Raw genomic sequence first — 23,684 nt, 5'->3', positions numbered from 1 at the left:
AATAGGCTCATGAAACCTAGGTAAACCTTGGTTGCATCTGTGGCTATTATATGTCATATTTATAAGAACCCACCTGAAAGACCAACCATTTATACCTGTGGTTAATCAAATGGTTGCTTTTAATACATTTCAATCATGTCAAACTCATTTGTATTTGGTTTGCATTTGCCTCTTAATCTCTCTAAGCGTAGACAAATCACTTCTTGGCAGCTCATAATCAGATAAATTGACAATCAGATGAGATAGTCCAATTGTTATTGCTTTAACTGTGTGCACCGATGGCTGGCAAATCTCCTGGTCCCTTTCCAAACTGTGACTGGAGATTCAATGAGTTTCCCAACCCAGCTGCCCATGCTCTCCATGTTACTTGTGTGGAGCTCATGGCCTTGGCAGTTTCAGGCAAAGAAGTTGGGAATGCCCTTCTAAATGTTGTCCTAAAAAGGTATGTATTCTGGTTCATGCAGTAAGATTTGTTGTTTATTTGTAAATAGAATGGTATTCTATTTCAAACTTTTAAGACAAACCTGTTGCCGCAAGGCTGATGCACATTGGATGATGACTGTTTTCTGGTTCCAGATCTTGTCTTTGTGATATAGGAGTTATGGAATGAGCCCTGGACAGGATCCTAAGATCCGGGTTTGTTCCTACTTCTACTCATTAATAGCAGTTTGACATTTAATATAGGAATAATGTTAACTTGTCACTTAAAACAAGATTCTCTTCATCTTGTTTTCAAGATTTCAAGATTCTTTTAAAAATTAGCATGAAGTATGGGATAATGATTGGGGAGGAAGTATTTTTAAAAAGCCTTCTTGAGTTTTTATGCATATTACATTTTTATTCAATAAAAAATTCCCCATTGTTTTATTGAAATGGATTAGTTGTCGATCCTCTGAATTAGACATATTCTTTAAAAATAAGATCCGTTGTCAGCCATCTAAAATGTTTTTATAAATTCATACTTACATTCTTTTTTGCCGGTTGCAGTCAGCCTTTAGTGCCAAGAGAGAACATTACAGCATGGATGAATGCAATTGGTTTGATCATCACTGCCCTACCAGTGAGTTAATAATTGTGATTTGTACTTAGTGATGAAATACAGCCAGCTGTTCCATGTCAGCAAAAAGAAAAAGATGCATATAGGATGCCCTTGTACGGGACGTCATGCAAATTAATGAAGTATTTTATGTTTTTAAAGTTTTTTCATATTATTACTGCTTTAAAAATCTACAGTGACTAGTTTTTGCTTTTCTGTATTAGATCTAAATATATCTATGTGACTTACGGGTCTCTGCATTTTCTGGTACCACCTTACCTATCCAACTTTAGTTTTTACATAATAGCTTGATCTACTCTTGGCCACTTAACGTGTTGTATATCTACAGCCTTTGTTCCTTCAGATAGTGCTTAAGACATGTTTTAGGTACTTCTGAATGTGAGGGAATAAGACATTTTTCTTATTCCAGAAGCTTCTTCTTTCCATCACCTTCTCTAAAGCCTATTCATTCTTTGCTAGCTTAGAGCCTCCTTTCTCAGTGAATGAAGCCTTCCCTGACTTTTCCAGCTCACATGAAGACTCCTTTCTCTGACCTCCACACATATTTTTTTAAAGTTTATTATTTTTAAATAAGTAATAAAGCTATAGATTTATTGTTTGATAAATTAATTGATTTACTGCATAGTGTATATCAGGTACCTAAATGAGCTGGACAGATACATGTATGGAGCCCCTTAACTCACAGTTACTTCTCCCAGGTTGTTACTGACTTAATTTGACCAGTTACAAAGCCACCCAGCTGTATTGTGCAGAAGCTGGAAAAATAGAAAACTTTAAAGAATGAGAAAACACTATTACTTTAGACTTTGGGGTGGAATGCTGGATAAGTGATATTTTTCACTAGCTTTCCTCCGATTTTAAAGGAGCCATATTGGATTGTTCTTCATGATCGAATTGTGAGTGTCATCAGCAGCCCCAGCTTGACGTCTGAAACAGAGTGGGTTGGCTATCCATTCCGCCTCTTTGATTTCACTGCCTGTCATCAGTCCTACTCTGAGATGAGTTGTAGCTATACGTTAGCTCTTGCACATGCTGTGTGGCACCATTCTAGCATCGGACAACTTTCTCTCATTCCAAAGTAAGTATAATAATTTCTTAAAGAAATTTGACGTAGGCTGGGTGCGGTGGTTCATGCCTGTAATCCCAGCACTTTGGGAGGCCGAGGTGGGCAGATCACAAGGTCAGGCGATTGAGACCATCCTGGCCAACATTGTGAAACCCCATCTCTACTAAAAATACAAAAATTAGCTGGGCATGTGGTGTGTGCCTGTAACCCCAGCTACTCGGGAGGCTAAGGCAGGAGAATCACTTGAACCAGGGAGCTGGAAATTGCAGTGAACCAAGATCGCGCCACTGCACTCCAGCCTGGTGACAGAGTGAGACTCCATCTGAAAAAAAAAAAAAAATTGTATTTCATTTTGTTCTAATCTCATTAACAGATGAGGTATATACTTCATTCATTAGAACAACTTGCGGCTGGGCGCGGTGACTCATGCCTGTAATCCCAGCAATTTGGGAGGCCGAGATGGGTGGATCACAAGGTCAGGAGATTGAGACCATCCTGGCCAACATGGTGAAACCCCGTCTCTACTAAAAATAAAAGAATTAGCCAGGCGTGGTGGTGTGCACCTGTAATCCCAGCTAGTCAGCAGGAGAATCACTTGAACCCAGGAGGCGGAGGTTGCAGTGAGCCAAGATCACGCCACTGCACTCCAGCCCAGGCAACAGTGTGAGACTCCGTCTCAAAAAAATAAATAAATAAAAATAATCAAGTGAAAGTAATAGCCAGTGAGAGATGTGAGATTAATTAGAAATATTATTGTTACCAAATTAAAAGGAACTTTAAAAAATTATATTTTATTGTAATACTTTGTATATACTGTATGAACAAAATTCAAACAATTTAAATAATTTCAAGTCACAGGAGATTTTTATCTTCAAATTTTAGGTTTCTTACTGAAGTACTTCTTCCTATAGTGAAGACCGAATTCCAGTTGCTTTATGTATACCATCTTGTTGGACCATTTTTACAAAGATTTCAGCAAGAGAGAACTCGTTGTATGATAGAGGTAAAATATAATCTGGGTTTCCTGTGACATGATTAAATTCTGAAGTATCTATTTAAGTTTCTTTACCAGTGTTATTGAAACTGCAGGTCACAACCATTAGTAGTGAAACTAGTTTAACAGGATCCAAGAGCAATTTTAGAGGACTTAGTTTGCCAGTAATGAATTTAGGGTGGGATGTATTGAATTGGAGATGCAGAGGAAACGCCCATCATGAAGGTTGAGAAGAGGTTAAGGATGGAGAAGTACATTTGAGATCTTACAGTGCAGAGGAGCTAATTAAAATCATGAGAATGGATGAAGTCAGTCACTTCTAACAAAATGTCGCAAACAAGGAAAGGACCCAGGAGTAGAACCTTAAAGCAAGAGCTACCAAATGGAACTAAGAAAGTATAATCCAAAGGATCCCTAGGAGTGGAGTTATCCCAGACATCGAGAGATGGTGTCTAGAAAGGGGATTGTTTATCTCTTGATTTTAAGAGAAATTACTTAACTATGAAGAGAAATTTTATTTAAGCCTTGTCAGGGGCATTTTGTAGCACTATAGATTCTTTTATAAATGCAAGCCATATCATATCTCATGTGCATAGAGGTGTATATGGTATATGACAGTTCTACAGCAAAGACAGTATCCCCCGGTGCTAGTGTTGTAATGGAGCCCAGCTGCATCATGCTGAATTACTGAATCACTTGATCACTTAAATAATTTTACATTATTTGTTAAATAGATTGGTGTGGCGTTTTATGACATGCTGCTGAATGTTGACCAGTGTAGCACCCATTTAAATTACATGGATCCCATCTGTGACTTCCTCTATCACATGAAGTATATGTTTACTGGTGACAGCGTGAAAGAGCAAGTAAGTTGAATTTGTTTAATTATTTTTAATGATGTTTAATTTAGAAAACTTGAACATATAGTAATAGACTTTTTTGGTTTGGGTGATTATTTTTATTTTGTCTAATTTTTTCTTTTAAGGAAAAAGGGTGGGTATGAGACCTTTTTAGGCATCAGAGGCATATTATTCTAGATGTAGTATTAAAGGAAATACATGTTATAATTTCTTGTACTTTTCCCCCTTGATATTTGCAACAGAAAATCTGAAAAAGACCTAGAGGGTTAATTAATAGTAATCTCATTAGGGAGAAACAGTGGGATATGGCTGCTGAAATATGAGCAGAGAGGTTGTTGTGTTATGAGTAAAGGAGGTCCTGCTTCTCCTGACACTCATGGTGACAGTAGACAAACCGCGGCATAACTAGAAGACTAAAGTCAGGATTCTAGACTAATCCTGACTAGAGACTAACTCATGAAAAGCATTTAGAGAATATGGGAATGCTTATCCTGAAGAAAAAAGTCCTAGGGAATTATTTATGACCTCAGCATTTTGGAGGGTTTTCATTTGGAATAGGTATTAGATTCGTTCTGTGTCACTTTAGAGGGTGTATGAATTCTGGTAAAGTTAAAGGGAGGCCACCCTGACTTAGCATATGAAGAGGAACTTCCTAATGGGGATGTCTGAAAGTAGAAAAAGACCTTGAATCATAACTGAGTTTCCTACGTGTAGGAAACAGAATCTGGGCCATTTTAAAGGAGTGGAGGTAGGACAGATAGGGAAAGTTAAGTCCATCCTCCTACCCCTCCCAGTACTTTAGGTTGAGATGCCAAGGAGGTTGACTCCTTTATGTCTCAGCAGCAGTGTCAAAGAGAGTTGACCTGTTCTCTCTCATGTAAGAAAGAGAGAAATTGTATCTGCTTTTGTTACAACACAGAACATGCAGAGAAACTGTAAAAGAAATTGTTTATTTGTTTGTTTTTTTAAAAAAAGTATTCTTTACATTTAGGCCTAAGAAACTTTAACACAAGGGAGTACAGAAAGGAAAAGGTCAAAGAGCATTTGAGTAAAGCTAAGAAAGCTGTGAAACGACTTGATGTGTTTGTCTCCTTAGTGTTTTTCAAAAGAGTAGATCTAATATTATTTAGTTAATTCCAAGTGTAAATCAAAACCAAAATAGTTTTATAGATAAATGTTGCAAACATGAGTTATTCAAAGAACTTTATAATTATGCTTCATGCTTCTGTAAAGATGGCATTTTAAAAGAATGATCAACTTGTTGGATGTATAAAATTTCCAGTGTAAACTCTGCTAGCTTTTGGTAGTGGGATGACTGGCTAGCTAGATGAGTGGATACGCCTTTGTAAGTATATGCATATATATGAATATACATATGGTACATGTACAGACATGCACATATAATATATAAGGGGTGTGTGTGAGGGAGAACGTATTGTTTCTCATGCAAGAAAGAAATCATTGTATCTGCTTTTCTTAAAACACAGAACATGTTAAGAAACTTCTCATCTACCCCACGACACTCCTTAGTTTATTGTCTCCGGATATGTGTAAATCCTGCTTTAAATGTGAGAAGTTGAAATTCTCTGATTAAAGTACGTTTTAATGTGTTTTTATTTCTTAGGTAGAGAAGATTATCTGTAACTTAAAACCAGCTTTAAAACTTCGTCTTCGATTCATCACACACATTAGCAAGATGGAGCCAGCTGCAGTGCCTCCACAAGCCATGAACAGTGGGTCTCCAGCACCTCAGTCTAATCAGGTGCCCGTGTCTTTACCAGTAACTCAGTGAAGCCAGACTGTACTGTGGAGAAAGTAGAAATATATCCGTCTTTGAGAGTGGACTCAAACCTTTTAAATCTGAATGCGATCACACTGTAGTGATATAGTAGAAGCAGTGATGATATTCAGATTGTTTTATTTTGATTCAAATGATGAATCTGTTGACACCTTATAACTCCCATCTCCCTATCTATATTTTTGTCTCTAAGAGATCAAGTAAGATACATGTTGTTCATATTCATAACAACTTATTAGAGCTATGTAGGAACATAGAGGTATCTGTGATCAAATGACTTGTCATTGGCACTTTCAGTCTTTCCTATTCTAGCCGTTGTTTTTGTTTGTATTTTTTATTATTAATGACATATTTAGTCTTCAGATATATTATTTTAAAGGCACCACACATGTAAAACAGTTATTACAAATATTTTATACATAAATCTCTTGGTAGATTTTCAGAATAATAGAGATTTATATCAAGAAAAGGAATCTAGATTTTGTTGCATTGTAGGAGCAAACAAGGCTTCATATTCTTTTTAAAATGACTTGAAATTTTATTATAAATTTCCATAGTTTCTATCAAGGTCAACTGGCAGTTTTATTACCTTTGCTATGGACTTGAACTTACTGTATAAAATTAGTTGGAAGCCATGTAAGAAAATAACATCTGAAAATTCTTGAACTTAAAATCATGCTTAAATGGTTGATTCTCCAATTTCTTTTTTTAAAAATAAGTTAATTGCTTTTGCAGGTTGACACTCTCACCTGACAGATGATGTAATTCTTCAATTTTTATAATCTTAAAATTTTTAAATTTTATATTTGTAAATACAGTACACATTTTATTTCTTGGATTTTGAGAGACATTGTTAATTTTGGGGGAATTGGCATTGCGAAAGACTTGAAAACTAATGAGTAAAGTCTGCTGAATGAATAAACCGTGTGATTGTTTCCCGACTCCATTGGAATGAGTGTCGGCTGTGTGCCAGGTGGTGTGCTGGCTGGGGTCAGTTGGAAATGGGGTACTCTGTGGTTCCTACACTACAGTTGGTGACTGACATTGGCCTAGGAATTAAGAGTTACAGATTCTTTTAAAAAGAACTAGTGAATTTAACCAACTGTATTTCAAATTCATATTTCTAAATACATTCCTCCTAGAACTTTATTTTCTTTGTAGCTCATGTAATTGCCATCACTAAATCATTACTGGCCATGCAAGTCCAGCTAAAAATTTATATAATGGTAAAAGTAATTTTTGCAGACTTACTCTTTTCTTTTTTTTTTTTTTTGAGACGGAGTCTCGTACTGTCACCCAGGCTGGAGTGCAGTGGCATACTCTGGGCTCACTACAAGCTCCACCTCCCGGGTTCACGCCATTCTCCTGCCTCAGCCTCCCTTGTAGCTGGGACTACAGGCGCCTGCCACCACGCCTGGCTAATTTTTTGTATTTTTAGTATTAGTAGAGACGGGGTTTCACTGTGTTAGCCAGGATGGTCTCAATCTCCTGACCTCGTGATCCCCCGCCTCAGCCTCCCAAAGTGCTGGGATTACAGGCGTGAGCCACTGTGCCCGGCCCCTGCAGACTCATTCTTAAAATTACCCAGAAAACATGCTAGAGATTATTTCAAGTGTTAATCTTAGCATAGCGTCAATGTATTCTTGCTGCCTTGAGGAATTTATTGCTTTTTGATCCTAGAATGAGGATAAAATTGTGACACTAGTATTATACAAACAATAGAGGAAATGAAAATCAATATAATCACTTTCTCAAGGACATAAACATTCTAATTAATTTATTACAAATTCAGTTTTCCCTCTCTAGCTTAAAAACATGGGAATATAATTTCCCTGGATAGGCTTTTAAATATGTTTTTAATCAGAGACTAATAGAAGACAAAAACTTTATTTGGGTTTAGAATACAGCAGAGGGGAAAAAAATGCCTTTATGTTTATCACATCCTAAAAGTTTTTCTTTTTGAAAATTAATAGTAAGTTTAGAGTGGCTCTGTCCAGTATGACTTTCTGCAATGATGGAAATGTTCTTTACCTGTGCTATTCAATACACTAGTTAGCAGCTACATTTATCTAGGAAGCATTTGAAATGTGGAACTGAATTTTTTAATTTTATTAAGCTTTAATTTAAATGACCACATGTGGCTACTGTATTAGAGAATATATCTTAGAGTGAGATCCATTATAATTGCTCCCATCTAAAAGTAATTCAATAAAATGTTTATCTTTCAAAGGCCTAGGAGTTATTAGAGGAAACAGTTTTTAAATTCTGTGTTACATTTGAAAAATCAGATTGTAGGGACTATCATATAGCTGTTAAAACAAAAACACAGGAGAAATCCATTCATGGAGCCTACCTTTTTTACAGGACCCCCTGGGGTTTTCACATAAATTACTGGGAGGAGAAAAACTTTGCTTCCCTTGTTTTGATTACCGTTTACTCTGGTTTGTTTTTTCCATTTTCCTTACTACACTCCAGAGCCAAGATGAGTTTTTAGGATATAGCTAATGAGATATACTGTAATTGCAGTAAGTGAAGGGTGAAACGTTGGAAGCCATAGGTAATTTTAGATGACATCCTCAGCTGAATTAGTAATTATTATTAAAAACAAACTAGCAATTTGATTTATGTGGCTCCTGAATAGATTTTGGGGAATATGGTTGGTTTTTTTTTTTTTTTTTCAGGGTCTCATTCTGTTGCCCAGGCTGGAGTGCAGTGGCGTGATCTAAGCTCACTGCAACTTCCGTCTCCTGGGCTCAAGCAGTCCTCCCGCCTTAGCCTTCTGAGTAGCTGGGACTACAGATGTTCACCACCATGCCCAGCTAGTGTGTGTGTGTGTGTGTGTGTGTGTGTGTGTGTATTTTTTGTAGTGATGGGGTTTCACCATGTTGCCAGGCTGGTCACAAACTCCTGGACTCAAGCTCTTTGTCCTCCCAAAGTGCTGGGATTACAGGTGTGAGCCACCACATCCAGCCAGGAATATCTTCCACCTCCCAAAAGCTACTTGAATAGCAACCATGCTTTTAAAGTATTAACCAAAATCATGTTTGAGGTTTAGAAAAAGTAAAACATGGACATCTAGCCCAATGAACTTGTAGATTGCCCAAACCTATTATTACCCATTTTACAGTTGAAGAAACCAGAGCCAGGGAGTTTAAATAGTTTCAAGGCCTCACAGTGTTTTGGGGATGATTGATTTCACTGTGACTTTTCAAATGTTTTGTATTTTAACATTAAAAACTTAGTAGTTTTAAGCAGGACGTTTTTATGAATGTGGGGTGTGTGTGTGTGTGTGTGTGTGTGTGTGTGTGTTGCATGTATTTAGAAATATGTAGACACAATATAATCTTGTTATAAAGAGTTTATTATAAAAAATCACATTTTTTGAATGACATGGACACATAGTACCTTTCCACATGTGGTAGCTTTGTCTCCTGATTCCAAGAGTCCCACTCTATGTATGGGGGCTTATGTAAGTGTGCTTATTTTTAATGCCAGCAAATTTTTAATTGGAAATCAATGTACACTTCTCTTTCTAAGGATAAGTCTTTTGCCAAGTTAGAAAATATAAGCTTTTAAATTTCAAAAAAGTTAGAATTTCCACATCTTGAATTTTACACCAAGAGGGAATTTGTAGAGTTTATACTAATTGGAAAAACATTTTTCTGAAAGAACAAGTCTTTAGAAGGATAACTCTATGCTTAAGAAAATGATTAGCTTTCTAATTATGCCATTAACTATGAGATTTATATCGGATGTTTCCACATTTACTTAGGTGGGTTAAGGTAGTCAATAGGCTTGTGATTACCCTCCCGAGCAAGTCCGAAACAAGCCAAGGTTATTGCAACTGCTGTGTTCACTGTTCGAGTTACTTCTTCTGGTGTCTTCCCCAGGGATGGGTTCACTTCCATTATATCTAATCCTGAGAGTAGCCCTACAACAACAAATTGTAATAATGTAATTTATAAAATAGTTGACATTTTGAAAGTAGTACAGACAGACTTGAAAGATTATCCACTAACAGAAAAAGGTAGTAACCGATGGAAAACACTTTAGTTATTGCATCATGTGACTGATGGACATTCTGAAAGTGTCAGCTGGGACTTGGTTTCAGGTCAAGGAGGTATAAATATATATTAGTCAAGTGTACACTTGCTTCTCTATTACCTCAGATTGTTAACTACCTGTTTTGTAGATTTCTTCTGTGATGTAGAGACCTTCTCTGTATGTCAGACCTCCCACGACTGGTGTGCCAGTAGCTGGTGTGAAAGATGGGTCCAGTCCGTCAACATCAAAACTTAGATGAATTGGCCTTTTCTTTCTTTTAAGAAGTGGGAAAGGATTTCAGTTTAAGGTTGATGGCTTCACATTTCATAGATAATAATCTGTTAACTTGTTTTATAAAAAGTAGCAACCCATTATTTCATGTAAAGACTTTATTAATAACTTTGGTTGTCAGTAGCAACCTTTTCTGTTGCACACACATGTGTGCACACACAAAAGAATCCTACCTTCCTAGTAGATAGCTGAGTGTTTCTTCCATCACCTTGCCAATTCCTAGTCTGTCCACTTCAGTCATTGAAAAGTATTTAATGCCTAGAGTTTTCAAAATGTAGCTATAAAAGAGAAATTAAGATAATTATAATTAATAAGGCTGACTGTGCCCGCCTGTCTCCTTTTAAGGGAAATATAAATATAGTAAAATATATAAAACATTTAGGTTCTATGAACCTAACTCAATATAGTTTTATTTGTATTTATTTTTAACAGCAAGTCAATTGAGATTTAATTGCCTGGATACATACATATGTATGTACATGTATATAAATATATGTGTGTGGGCATGTGTGTGTGTGTGTGTCTTGATGTTTAATTTTCTCTCATAGAGTTGGTCAGTAAAGCATATCTAGCACACAAAGGGACAAAAATGGAGGCAAATCACATCAAGGAATAAGCTTACTGTTCCCCAGGGTCCACGTCTCTCAAGCCAATATACACAATATCCTTGGCAGATATACAGGGAGTCACCCAGGAGAATCCTGGCACATCGGGAATCTAAAATTACAATGTTTTCACTTGGTTATGTATGATTCTCTTGAACAAATCCTACATTCAAAGGTAAAGACACATATTGGATTGCGTATATCTTATATTTAGAATATAAATACAGAAGAAATCATGTAAAAATAATACACAATTAAGAAGAGGATGTGTGCCTCCCCTTGATTGCTTTGACTTTGCCTTGAACCAGTTGGCATTTACCTACTTTGTGCCCCAGTCCTGCTGGGCCCTTCTTTCCCAGGGCTCCTCTATAAAGAAACGATTGTGCTCCCATTACTTTGGTAGCTTCCTTCTTTACTTCCCTTTCTCAGTAAGTCCTTAATCCAGAGGATGGCCTAGAGCAGCTGAGGGAAATTTGTGGCCTGTCCTTTGGTTATTCTTAATGTGATAATATGATGATATCTGCTTTGTCCTCCAGGACGTTTAGTTTTTCCCATGTACTAGGCAGATACTTTGCAAGTTTATAAACCCATCCCTTGGTCATTAGTTCAAAAGACATTATTTCTGAGCATTTAACATAAGGAGGTTTTAACCTCTTGTATCATCATAAGGACCAAATATTATAATTGTATCAATAAAAACTTTTTATTGATATACTATGGCATATCAACAAACTATGGCATATCAACAAAGTTATAAGCTGTAATATTAAATCTTAATCTGCCATTTTATTTTCCATCTTTTAGAAAAGGAGTTTCTAGGGAGCAGGGAGATAGTTCTTTCTCTTATGATTTAGATAGGTGCTTCTCCCAGTAAATACATTAGTTCATAAACCATTATATCTGAAATTTTAAAATTTCTTTTTTGAAAAGCCTCTATGATATAGAAGGACTACTCAGTAAGAATGCAGAACTGTGTGGCATGTAGTGGAAAGAGGAAGGAATGAGGAGACCTGGTGCTAGCCCTTGCTTCACTATAGGCTTGGCATATATCTTGGGCAAGTTGGTTAACCTCTGAACCTCCACTGACCTGTTTATAAATGATTACTCTCTGCCCCACCTACTAAAAGGATAGTTTAAGAATTAGCAGAGAAAATATATATTAAGTCAGTTTGCAAGGCAGAGATAGAGAGCCTCACTGCCTTTTATCAACCAACCCTTTGCTTATTGGCTGCAGAGAAAATGATTTGAGATTACACCAAGAATAAGATAACATGGAGTTTCTCATTTCCCTTCCACCTCCTGAATGTCTACTAAAAAGTATTCTATTGCACTAGAGTACCAACCAGTCTTTTACCTTTCCTTTTAGTTCCTTCAGGAGGAAAGATACAGGTTGTCCATGCAAGTTTCCACTTGTGGTTGTCAGTGGAGTGTTGATATCAGTGTGAGCATCCACCCAGATGACTCCAAGATCAGGGTGGACCCTGGCATGGCCAGAGATGCTTCCAATTGCCAAACTTTTGGGGAAAAAATTTTGTGTGAACATCAGGTTTGCAGTGTCACTACATACATCATATTATTCACTCAATGCTCCCACTTGGTTTTCCTTTGAGTCACAGTGTCTGATATTTCTGATAGGTTCTGAATTGGAGATGCCAATTAGTTAAAACAATAGAGAAAGCATAACTTACACTTAATGCTCACTAACTAGTTATATTTACATCGATTGCATTACTAAAAAAACTGTGATTTTTTTTCCCAAAATCCACCTTGTAAGAAAACCACGATTAGAGCGTAGCCAAAAAAATAAATGAGTATAAAAATACTAGCCACACAAGAAATTCCTTAGCATGAGACACTGTTCAATTCTCAGAGTTAAATTTGGATCATTTTCTGTACACTCATCTCTCTTGGTAAATACTTAATTCTCTCAAGTGAATTATGACAAAGTCTTTCAATTTTTCTTAAAATCCAGCTTTTATAATTTGAGAGCATCACTCAGAAGTTCTTACATGTTCTTACTCAAGTTCTTCAGCCAGCGTATGGCGTGTGTTCACTCATTCTATTCAATGCATCTAGTTACCCACTCAACCAGGAACAAAGTTCATCCCAAATACTTCAAGCTCCAGACATTTTGCTGGAATGGAAGACATAAATGATATCTTGCACAGAAGTTAAAAGTTAGGATTTATTAGGTTGGTGCAAAAGTATTGCGGTTTTGCCATTTAAAAACTGCAATTACTTTTGCACCAAGCTAGTACTATACAATGCCTGTATTCTCCCATTTGTGAATGTTTAAGTATCATTCAGAGAATCATGAGCTTTTAGATTCTCGAAGTGGAAGCAATAATGCCTTAACGTTCAGGTATGGATTATTCAGTGGACGTTTGTTTTCCCTTTAGGTTTCTTGTCTTTTGCCATGTGCCATTCCTAAAATTTCCACTTAACAAAGAAAGCGAGCCTCAGTTTCCCAATTGCAGTTTTGATACAGAGGCCTTGGTGACAGTTTGGCTTTAGAAGAGGAAGCCAAGGAGACCTGAAGTCATTGACTGCTCAAGAGCCATAGAAGTGTTTCTACTTTTAGATCTAATCAGGCCTTTCTGGTAAAATTATCCTAGGCCTTGGGAGTAAATATTTAAAGAGGCTCATGCACAAAAATGGTCTTTGCCACATTATTTGTAATGGTGAAAATTATAATGCAACCTGAATATGCCGCAATATGTACGTATATAGCGATGTAACCCCTTGATGAAAAATCATGCAGCAATTAAAAAACTGATGCTTATGATGCTTATGCACATCCCATGAAGCAACAAGGAAATTTGCACTGTAGAGTGAGAACACAACATAGACATCTGTCTCTCTCTCTCTCTCTCTCACACACACACATACACACACACACACACGTTAAACAAAGTCATCATGTACAAGGAAAAAAAAGATGCCATGAAAGAAATGTGCCAGATTTTCAATTCTGGTTGAAATGGTTGCTAGAGAAGTACAATTACCACATTTTTTTTCTTGTGTGTGTGTGTCTGATGCTTTCAAAAATGTTATGATCATTACTTTTATAATGAAAAACACATGCTTTGAAATTGTTGACCTATATGAGTTGTATATATTATCGGCAATTAAGAACAAATAAGCTATGAATTGCCTCACATACTTATTTAGAAATGTAAGCTTGTGATGAATATTTAGATGAAATCCATTCATATTTCATACATTTTCTGCTGTACTAGGTCAAAATACAGATATTGTAAGACTTCAAATTGAGCGAAGTCTGTTTCTATAATAAAAGTAACCTATAAAATTTTTTTAAAGGCAGAAAATTTGATATAAAATATAGGTCAATGCTTTTCTGTCTATATTTCTAAATTTTCTCTCTTCTTATGGCCTTGGTTACTTCCTTTGTGCCAGATTCCCATAGACACAGTTATTCAACAAGACCTGTGGTCTCCGCCCAGCACCAGGCTGATTCTTCCGTTCTTCTTGACTTCTGCCACCTTGCCAGCCAGCTGCTCGCTTGCTTTTCCCACAGACCTTGGATTCTTCACAATTTGAAAGGGACTGTCATTAGGGATGTCAGCAAAGGGCAGGTCCCCATAATCCTTCACATCACACTCTAAAATTAAAAAGTTTTGAGTTACTAAATTAAAAAGTAGATTATAAATCAGTCTGTGTAGGATGATCTCAATTGTATAAAATAGGCATATATTCACAAGTATAAGCAAAGGAAAAACCTGAAAGGTCTGTAAATCTTGGGAAGGTAGACCCATGTCTGCTTTTGCTTGACGTCATGTTACCAGTATCACACACTGGTGCGGCTGTATACTGGGCTCTCAGTGAACACTTCTTGAATCCATCCAGTTAAACTAGACACCAAAATGTAACAGTGATAATCTTCTGGTTTGGGCTTAATAGGGAATGCCACTGTCTCTGTCTCTGTCTCTCTGTCTCTCTCTGCTTATGTGCTTTTTACCTTTCTATAGTAAGCATGCTTCATTTTGATAATAATTAAATACATATATATCGGTATATATATGTATTCTCAGAAAATTTAGAAAGCACTGGTGTATTTTCATCTGGAGATACACACACACACAGACACACAAAGTATCCATTGAACCTGCCTCATAGTGGTATTATCATAAATAAATAAGAATATGTGAATATGTACTTAGCACTGAGCCTAACACTTTGGAAGCTTCGGAAATAAAGCTTTTTAGTTATTCTTTTTAGTAAGGAAAAATTGCAGGTAACCCCAAATTCCTAAGGACTGGGTGTGCTCCCTAAAAGGCCTTGAATTAGGCTTGAAAAGTAGAGAGTGTCATGTAAAACTGTGATTCAGTTCGGTGTTCTGAACTAATTGGCCATTAAATATGGTATTTGTTACATGTCTGTGTGAATCTGATTTAGTAACGCCTCCAAGAAATTTCACCTGATACAACACGTGACCAAATTATGCTTGTCAGTTAAGGGACAAGTCCATTACCCAAGCATTCTGTTCTCTACTGGGTGTCTGTATTTGTCTTTTTTTTTTTTTTTTAAAGATTTACGAAGTGTAATTCTTGTTCACTAAAACTCACTAATTTTAACTGTGCGGGTCAATGAGTTTGAAAAATTCCATCCTGCCCCTTTAGAGGTAATTCTTGCCCCCAACCCCAGGAACTGCTGATCTGCTTTCTTTTGCTATGCTTTTGTCTTTCCAGAATGTCGTATCAGTGGAATCATACATGTAGTCTTTCTTGTCTTATCATGCTGCTTTTGAGATCTACCATGTTTTTGCCTGTGTTTGCGGTCCATTCCTTTTTCTTTTTTTTTTTTTTTTGGAGATGGAGTCTCGCTCTGTCGCCCAGGTTGGGGTGCAGTGGCGCAATCTCAGCTCACTGCAACCTCTGCCTCCGGGTTCAAGCCATTCTCCTGCCTCAGCCTCCCAAGTAGCTGGGACTACAGGCTCATGCCACCACGCCCAGCTATTTTTTTTTGTATTTTTACTAGAGAAGGGGTTTCACTGTGTTGCCCAGGCTGGTCTTGAACTCCTGAGCTCAGACAGTCCACCCACCTTGGCTTCCCAAAGTGATAGGATTACAGGCCTCAGCCACCGTGCCCGACCAGTCCATTCCTTTTTATTGTTGAATACTATCTCGTTGCATGGATGTGACACTTTTTGTTTAACCATCTACCAGTTGATGGGCATTTTGCTGTTTCCATTTTTTGGTTATTATAAATATGGCTGCCCCCAAACATTCAAGCACAAATCTCTTACCCAAGAGAAATGAAAACATATCCACACAAAGACTTGTACTTGAATGTTTGTAGTTGTACTTCTCTGCACCCAGGAGTAGAACTGCTGGGTCAAAATGTAAATATATGTTTACCTGAGAAACTGCCCACCTACTTTCAAAGTGGCTGTATCATTTGCATTCCCATCAGAAATATATGAGGGTTCCAGTTTCTCCACATCCTGACCAACACTTTATCAGAATCTTATATGTAAAGGTAACAGAAAATTGAGCCCATACTTTAAAAATATACGTAAATTTGCATTTGCATGCTTATGTATATGTATGTATATATACACACTGCGCCCACACTAGGCGCTGTTGTTATTATCATTATTACTGTTTTATTTTATTTTATTTCACAAATAGGGGTCCTCTTGCTAGTAGCATACTTCCTGCTGCACCTTGCCTTCCATTTGCTGTTCCCCCGGCTCCCCTACCATCCACCCCAACCCCCGTTCTTGCACACACAATTTATCTTATACTGTAGTTTGGCTGGAAAGACAAAATATCTGAGTGAGGATGTACATCCAGCAATGTTTCCTGAGCATTCTCCCCATGCCCTGCTGCTTTTGTAGGATGTGTTTCTCGGGTTGTAACCAGTACCGCAATTCTGATGTAAATATTCCAGACACACTCCAGGTTCACAGGGGCCTGCTCTTTCCTTCAGAGTGGGGAGGAAATCAGGCTGATCATTTTTCAACTTAAAAATTACCTTGTTCTTTAAGTTTCTCAAGCAGACCAGCCTTTCTCAATACTGTAGGGCCTTCTTCCACCCCTCCTCGTGGCTGAACAATTAAAAAATAAAGTACTTCAGACATTATCATGACCATCAGATGCTCACAGCAGGAACCCTTTTCATTATTTAATCAGTTGAACTGTAACTATCATTTTTTGAGCTCCTACAGAGCCAGGAATTTACATCATCTCTTTTAATCTTCACAGCAAGGTAGACTGAATGACTTTTATGCCAAATAGAAAGAACTAGAATCACAAAGGTTATATGGTTTTCAGACTGGCACACAGCTAATAAGTGGCAGAGCCTATGTTCATATTCAGGTCTTTGGATTCCAAAACCTACATCCCCTCTTCCCGTCAAACCATGTTATCAACACAGTGAACAAGTAGTTTGTGCAAAAGCAGTCTGGTAGATGAGATCCAATAATGAAAAGGCTTTTGACTTTGAGTCCCTCATAAGCTGATAGGAGATATGGGCATTTAACTCCAGTTTCAATACATAGCTGCTTCAGTGATGATATAAAATGTCCTAGTAACAAAAACAGGATGCCCTTAACACTGTTGGGGACAGGGTGTGTCAGTAAAGGCTGCAAGAAATAAATGCTGTTTAAGCTGAGTCTTGCGACATGAGTAGGTAGTTAGGAAAACAAGACAGAGTGATGGAGAAACTCTGCAAACCAAGGGAACGATTGGGCAAAAGCATCGAAAGAGTGTGACATGAAAGAGACCTACGTGCATGTACTCACATAAGTAAGCTAGAGCTCTTGGGGAGAAAGCAGGCAACAGAAAAAGTCATCATCTGGGAGCTGAAAACTACAAACAAAGACCAACCCAGTAATTTCAAGTTTTGGCCTGCTTAACAGTATGATGGGAAGTTCTACCCTTGCCGTTTTGACATTAGGGAAACTAACACTCTTCCTCCAAGGGGCAAGTCTTCCTCAGTCCCCTGAACAATTAGAGGTCTAAAGGCACAGTTCCTTTCTGTATCTTTCTGATTTTAATTTCCAACAGAGCTTTTAGATGCAGAAGATTATTACATGTTGTCAGATGAGACAATGTGTTAAAAGACACGTGTGTCTATCTTTAGGATTGGGGCTGTGGCATCAAAGTAAGCAAGTATTTTTTCCCCATTCAAAGGAACAGAAGACTTGCCCTGGGTGCCAGGCAAATCCTTGATGTTAAATTCCTGTCCCTGGCAGCAAGGGACCCGCCCTATCCTCTGCCTGACACATTTTGCTTCTTTACTCCCTTTTTGCTTGACACACCTGCCTCTCCCCAATCAAGTAAACATGATTTCTCCTTCTTTCAACCCCAATAGGGTGCTGCTTGGTTCATGTTTTGCCTTTAGTTTTGTGTCTGTTTTTGTCTTTTCCTCATTGTTAGATTTCAGTCCAGCTTGCTTTACATGTGGGGCACTATATTTTGTAGTGTAGAGCTGACATATAGTAGATACTCAATACTCAGTTTGATAAAACTCCTTGGCTTTTTTACCCTTCTCCCTTTCATATTTTAGAACAAAGCTCATAGACCCCTTAGTTGACACTATATTTGCTATAACACAGCCATTAAATTTTCTAGAATTCTTTTTTATTTGTTTTATTCAAATGGCTTCTCATGATTGGGCTTTCCTCTTGCTTGCTCTATCTGCCCACTTTGGAAATTGCTTTGTCAGCTCCACCGACTTTCTAAGCTGGGCCCAATCCCTAAATGGCCACAAGTATAAGGTCGCCTTTGGAGTTGAATAGTCTGAAGAGACATCAGTGCAAATCAAGGGCATAGGCATTGGAATCAGATTATCTTGTCTGGAATTATGCAGTCAAGGCTGTGTGACGTTGAGCACATTACCAAACCTCTCTGGGCTTTTTTTTAACCCAACTGTAAGGTAAAAATAATACCTACCTTATTGTTTGTTCGCTGCCTTGCAAGCCTTTCAAGGAGGTGAGACAGGGATGAAGCCCTTTCTCAGACTCAACATTTTAGTCATCTGCCCTCTAATCCTTTCCTTTTGCTTATTTGTCAAACTTGTACCTCCTTTAGGTGAGGACAAATACTTATATGTTGGCCATTTTATCCTCTCTACTCTATGACTTAGTGTAAAAAATCTCTCTCTCTTAGTCCTTACAATCATGAGACAATGAACTCCATTCTCATGACCATGTTTTAATGGGAGGAGGGTGGTAGAAGGAGGACACTTGCTTCCCTTTTGTGAGGTTTTTAAATTATATATTTATTATAACCTGTTCAAGAGTGGGTGAGAACAGTGTGGATTTTAAAAGGAACATTTCTGTGTCAGCAAAATGTCCCTGTGTTTGGGAGAGACTTTTGGAGGATTTCCAGGGGAAGCAAAGTAGTATTTACTGACAGTCCAAATGCAGTTTGGGCCTCTAACCTCTGGCCTCTCTCAATTTGTTTTGCAGTAAAAAGTCAGAGTACACAGCAAGGGTTCCAAATTAAGAGGAAGCAAAACGCTGCCCAGATCCTGAGAAACCTGGAGAAAATCAACCTTAGTAGTTTCAACTCATACATTGTCTTGTTTGATTTTGTTCTTTGTTTTTTATCCTCTTTAAGCACAGATGCGTGTTGAAGTCTAAGGTGTTCTGTCATCACACTCTCTTTACTAGAATAAGTGTGCCCAGGCAGAAAAAAAAGTGTATTCAATGTTGCTGGCATGTGTGGATTCACAGCTCGTGGCTGTAAGGAAATCTGGGGGTTTCATAAATCCATTAAAATCCTTTTAGAGTTGCCAACCCGCAGTAGGATTTTCTTTCTTTTTTTGTTCTTTTTTTCCCCTTCCAAGTGAGGCACATAAAGGATTCTACCTAGTCCATGAATGAACAGTTTCATAGAAACATTAAAACCCTAACATAACATGAATTATTCACAAAGTTGCATGAAACAATAATATTTAGGTTATCCAAATTATAAGAAGCCTGAAGGTTACCACCAAACTATTAAATTTTTCTAGGCATTAATTACATAACTAAACAAATGTATTTCTTAAAATTCTCTCTTCCTCTACATACACACAGTAACATCAAAAACAACAAGAGCAACTAAACCTCAATGAGTAGCTACAATGCAGAAAGAGTCCATTTCAATTCAAAGAAAAATATTTTCTCCTAAAAAATATGAGAAAACATTCTGTAGGTTCAAATGAATTTAGCCTTGGCTGAGATCACGAGCCACAAAAGTAAGTGGATATGTGACTATAATTATACAATGTTGGAAAATGGTGAGAGGACTTTAAAATATGCATTTCCTGGCCAGATTGTATCAGAAAACTGAACTAACTAGACAATAACACCTTACAAATTTTGAAGTCCAAAATTTTCAACTAAATTCCAGGAATTCAAAGAAAGACTTTTTTCCTTACCTGTCCCTTTGAGAAAGGAGCTCCAATAATCCCTATGGTTCTGGACTTGGCGCTCATGCTCTGACACTTCTCTTTGCTGCACTTGAGCTCTCCAGTCAGTCAACCCTCAGTGACAGAGGGCGCATCTTTTTTTTCCATTTATACTTGGGTTGAATAAACAACCTTTATCTAATGAGGACAGCTGGCTCCACCCACTAAACCAAAGAATGACAGTCAACAGTCTTGCAATTTTTCATACATGGAGTAACTATATGGTTACTCCATGTATGAAGTAACTATATGGGGTTACTTCATACATGGAGTAACCTAACTCTGAGTCTAGGTCTCTAATCAAGTGACAATTATTCATGTTCTCACTTCACACCCTTTTAAAAAGCCAGCCAGATGACATTAACCTGACTTCAACAACTGACAAGTTTCACAACTACAGAAGAAGTCCTATTGTTCTGGCTCAGCGAACTCAGGGCAAGGCCCTTTCCTCCTCCAGATCTCTGAAGACGTCCTTGTAGAAGAAGGGCCGGGCTTGGCAAGATCGTCTGTCACATCCCTTCCAGCCCTAAAATCCTGAGTTGAGATTTCACACATGAGGGTAAATGGTTAATCCATGAGACACATTTCATAAACTTTTAGGGTATAATATAATAAAGAGTATATAACTTCCTTTTTTGATGATTACTTTAAAAAATTAGTTACTTGATTGGTAACCCAGAGAGGTTACCATTTTTGAAGTATGGTGTACAGGAAAATAATTGTAGAATCATATCATAATCAAAGTATAGAAATAAAAATAGCTAACATTGAGTTTTTACCATGTGTCCGATGCAGTTCTGTTTCAAAATACCATATTTATATTTATACCAATTTTATGTGAAGTCTCATCATTGGTGCCATTATACTGATGAATAAACTGAAGCTCAGACCCGTTGCCAACATAGGCTGTAGAAGAAAAGTCGGGATTTAGTCTCTGCCATTCTGAATCCACTTAACCGTCGAGCTTATAGTCTAAATGCTGGGAAGGTGTCAACCTCTATGCCCCTGAGCTACCATTTGTCACCATACAAAAGTATGAATTTAAAATAAAGGCACCTTAAAGATCCTTCCGACTTTAAAATTATGTAATTGTAATTTAAAGGGAAAATTCACTTAGTAGAAACTAATTTCTTTTTCCTATTGGTGGGAAAGAACATTTTGGAATTTAAATTCCATGAGGTCAGAGAATTTTGTCTGCTGTATCCCCAGGGCCTAGAAGAGTGTTGGTGTATAATAGGCACTCAATAAATATTTATTGAATGGATAAATGAGGAAACCAAAGTCTCATGGGTCCATTTTGATAGGACTGTTTTCCAAATAGGTTTCCTACCTTTTTCTTGTGGGTTTGCTTGTATATCCTAAATATTTACTTGTGGTATTCCTCATATTGCCTAGATATTAACCTTATAGCATTGACATTGCAAATAACTTTTCCCAACCTGTCAGAAATCTGATAACTTTTTATATGTTATCACTCAAAATCCTCAATTTTAAAATAGACACTTGTATAATTTCCCCCGAATGCTTTGTGCTTTGGAAGTCTTATTAAATTCCTGCCACCCCATCAAATTGTAGGTATGTAGTTTTACATTTTCTTCCATTTGCCTTAGAGCTTATCTTTCTCACTTAGTTCCTGAATCCATCTTTGTATGTTATGTAAATTTTCCAACTCGTTTTTCCTCTATCATTCATGCATCAGTTTCCTCAACAACACCCATTGAATAGTCATTCATTTTGCAATTGATTGGAGTGCTGTCTGTCACTAAACTCTTTCTTCTGTTCCATTGACTTATTTACCTATGGCTGCACCAGATCCATCAGGTTTTATCAATACAGTTTTGCGGTACATCTTATCATTGTTTAGGCAAGAGTAACTGTTTTGCTCTTCTTTTTCAAAATTGATTTACCTTTTATGGGTCTCTATTCTCCTATAGTTGGAATAACCTAATTCCTTAAAAGTATTTGCTAGAATTTTTACTAGATTTATAAATCAATCCATGGAGATTTGCTAACTTTCAAATTTGATTGCTAGAATTTTTTCTTTGAAAAATTCACATCCTGAAAGTTCTTTGTATGCCAAGCTGAGATTGCCTTCCTGTCATATGAACCATTGGTCACCACCCTTTAATCCAAGTAAAGCACATTATCTCTTGGCTGTCATGTCTTTCTTGGATTTCTATTGTTTAGGCTGAATATTCCCAAATACCTCACTAATTTCTTGTGTTACATAGTTGCCACTTTCCTTCAGGTCACCAACTTGGTCGCTGTCTTCAAAACATCTCGCTTCCCTCTGCCTTTCCTAAATAGGGCATCCAGAACAAAATGCACATATCCAAATACAGGTGGAGTTATCTGGTCCATCAGACACAAATTTGATAACATTTGACTTTTCCAAGTCACTGATAAAAATGTTGAATAAGGCAGCACTTTTACAAACACTCTGTGACATTCCACTGGAAACCTTAACCCAGATTGGCATAGCCCCATTAATTAATCATCAGTTGAGATACAACTGATTACTAATTTCCAACTCAACCACTCCATCCTGTTCACAAGGACATCGTAAGGAAATTTATCCGGTGTCTCAATAAAATCTCATCACACTTTACTACCTTTTCTTCTGCCAATCTGACTTCCCTGTCAAAGTTGATGGGCTGACCTTGACAGGTCCAGTTCTTGGTGAACTCATGCTGACTTCTAGTGATTGCTGCTTCCTTTTTATTATTAACACAAGCTATTTTTTCAGTCTCCAAAGCTGTCATCTCAAGACTGCTAGAGGAAGAAGATAAGGGGTGTCTCACCTATATCACTCTATCAAAGATACACTTTCTTCAGCTCAATTCTTTCATTTATCTCAGGGTTATGTACATTGAGGTTTTAAAAGCCCTTCTAACACTGCAAGTCTCTTAACCAAATGTTGAAAGAAAAATCCTATCTGGCATTTTCCTGGGAATGAGACCACATCTTATTTGACCCTAATCCAAAGCTACTGGAATGAGATCTGACACATAACAGGCCCTTGTATTAGTTTCCTATGGCTGCTGTTACAAAGTACTTGTACCACAAACTGGGTGCTTATAAAAAATAAAAAATAAAAAATAAAAATAAAATAAAATACAATTTTTTTATCCATAGTTTAGAGGATAGAAGTCTGAAATCCAGGTGTCGGCAGAGCCATGCTCCCTCTGAGACCTGCAGGGAATCCTTCCTACCTCTTCCTAGCTGCTGGAGGTTTTCTGGCAATCTTTGGCATTTCTCGGCTCATTAGGTGCATCACTCCAATCCTCCATCTTCACTTGGCACGCTCCCTGTGTCTCTGTGTTTTCACATGGCTGTCTTCTTACAGGGACGACAGTCATATTGGGTTAAGCCCCCCACCCACCAGTATGGTGTCATATTAACTAGTTACATCTGCTATGGTCCTGTTTCCAAATACAGCCACATTCTGAGGTACTGAAGGTTAGGACATCAACATATCTTTTGGAGGGATGTAATTCAACCCCTAGCAGCCCAAATTAATATTATTGAAATGATAAAGAAAGCATG

General features: G+C 37.4%; 2 protein-coding genes across 18 annotated transcripts in view, besides 1 other annotated feature; one reads left to right on the top strand and one right to left on the bottom strand.

The window, feature by feature from the left end:
- MED23 (mediator complex subunit 23) overlaps positions 1-19,482 on the top strand; it is a 54,348-nt gene extending 34,866 nt beyond the window's left edge. For 7 of the 14 annotated variants that reach the window (NM_001376518.1, NM_001376523.1, NM_001376524.1 and 4 more), the window contains 6 exons: positions 277-442; positions 988-1,060; positions 1,921-2,135; positions 3,006-3,126; positions 3,852-3,983; positions 5,602-6,693. In NM_001376518.1, coding sequence (NP_001363447.1) covers positions 277-442; positions 988-1,060; positions 1,921-2,135; positions 3,006-3,126; positions 3,852-3,983; positions 5,602-5,769 — 875 coding nt within the window. In that variant the 3' untranslated portion in view covers positions 5,770-6,693. Of the gene's footprint in view, positions 1-276; positions 443-987; positions 1,061-1,920; positions 2,136-3,005; positions 3,127-3,851; positions 3,984-5,601; positions 6,717-19,152 lie in introns of those variants that run through there. The other 7 variants (NM_001270521.2, NM_015979.4, NM_001376521.1 and 4 more) reach the window with 4 other exon arrangements.
- Positions 9,119-20,222, bottom strand: ARG1 (arginase 1). 4 transcript variants are annotated; one of them, NM_001244438.2, is made up of 8 exons: positions 20,109-20,222; positions 16,713-16,785; positions 14,163-14,361; positions 12,070-12,229; positions 10,733-10,827; positions 10,284-10,388; positions 9,957-10,093; positions 9,119-9,706 (listed from the first exon to the last, which is right to left on the bottom strand). In NM_001244438.2, exons 1-8 carry the CDS (start codon positions 20,163-20,165, stop codon positions 9,540-9,542), a joined length of 993 nt encoding a protein of 330 aa, NP_001231367.1. In that variant the 5' UTR covers positions 20,166-20,222; the 3' UTR covers positions 9,119-9,539. The 4 variants fall into 4 exon arrangements, 3 of the variants coding, with proteins under 3 accessions (NP_001231367.1, NP_000036.2, NP_001355949.1); NM_000045.4 differs by having other exon boundaries at positions 14,163-14,337; NR_160934.1 differs by lacking the exon at positions 16,713-16,785 and having other exon boundaries at positions 14,163-14,337.
- Positions 20,255-20,756: an enhancer, noted in NCBI's record as "NANOG hESC enhancer chr6:131893832-131894333 (GRCh37/hg19 assembly coordinates)". NCBI's record gives its function as "activates a minimal SCP1, AML or CMV promoter by ChIP-STARR-seq in primed H9 embryonic stem cells {active_cell/tissue: H9 hESC(primed)}" and the evidence as "EXISTENCE:reporter gene assay evidence [ECO:0000049][PMID:30033119]".

The sequence above is a fragment of the Homo sapiens genome, chromosome 6 (assembly GCF_000001405.40).
Source record: "Homo sapiens chromosome 6, GRCh38.p14 Primary Assembly".
NCBI classification, from domain to species: Eukaryota; Metazoa; Chordata; class Mammalia; order Primates; family Hominidae; genus Homo; species Homo sapiens.
Note: the sequence above shows the minus strand (reverse complement) of the source record. Positions and strands in the feature narration are given on the sequence as shown.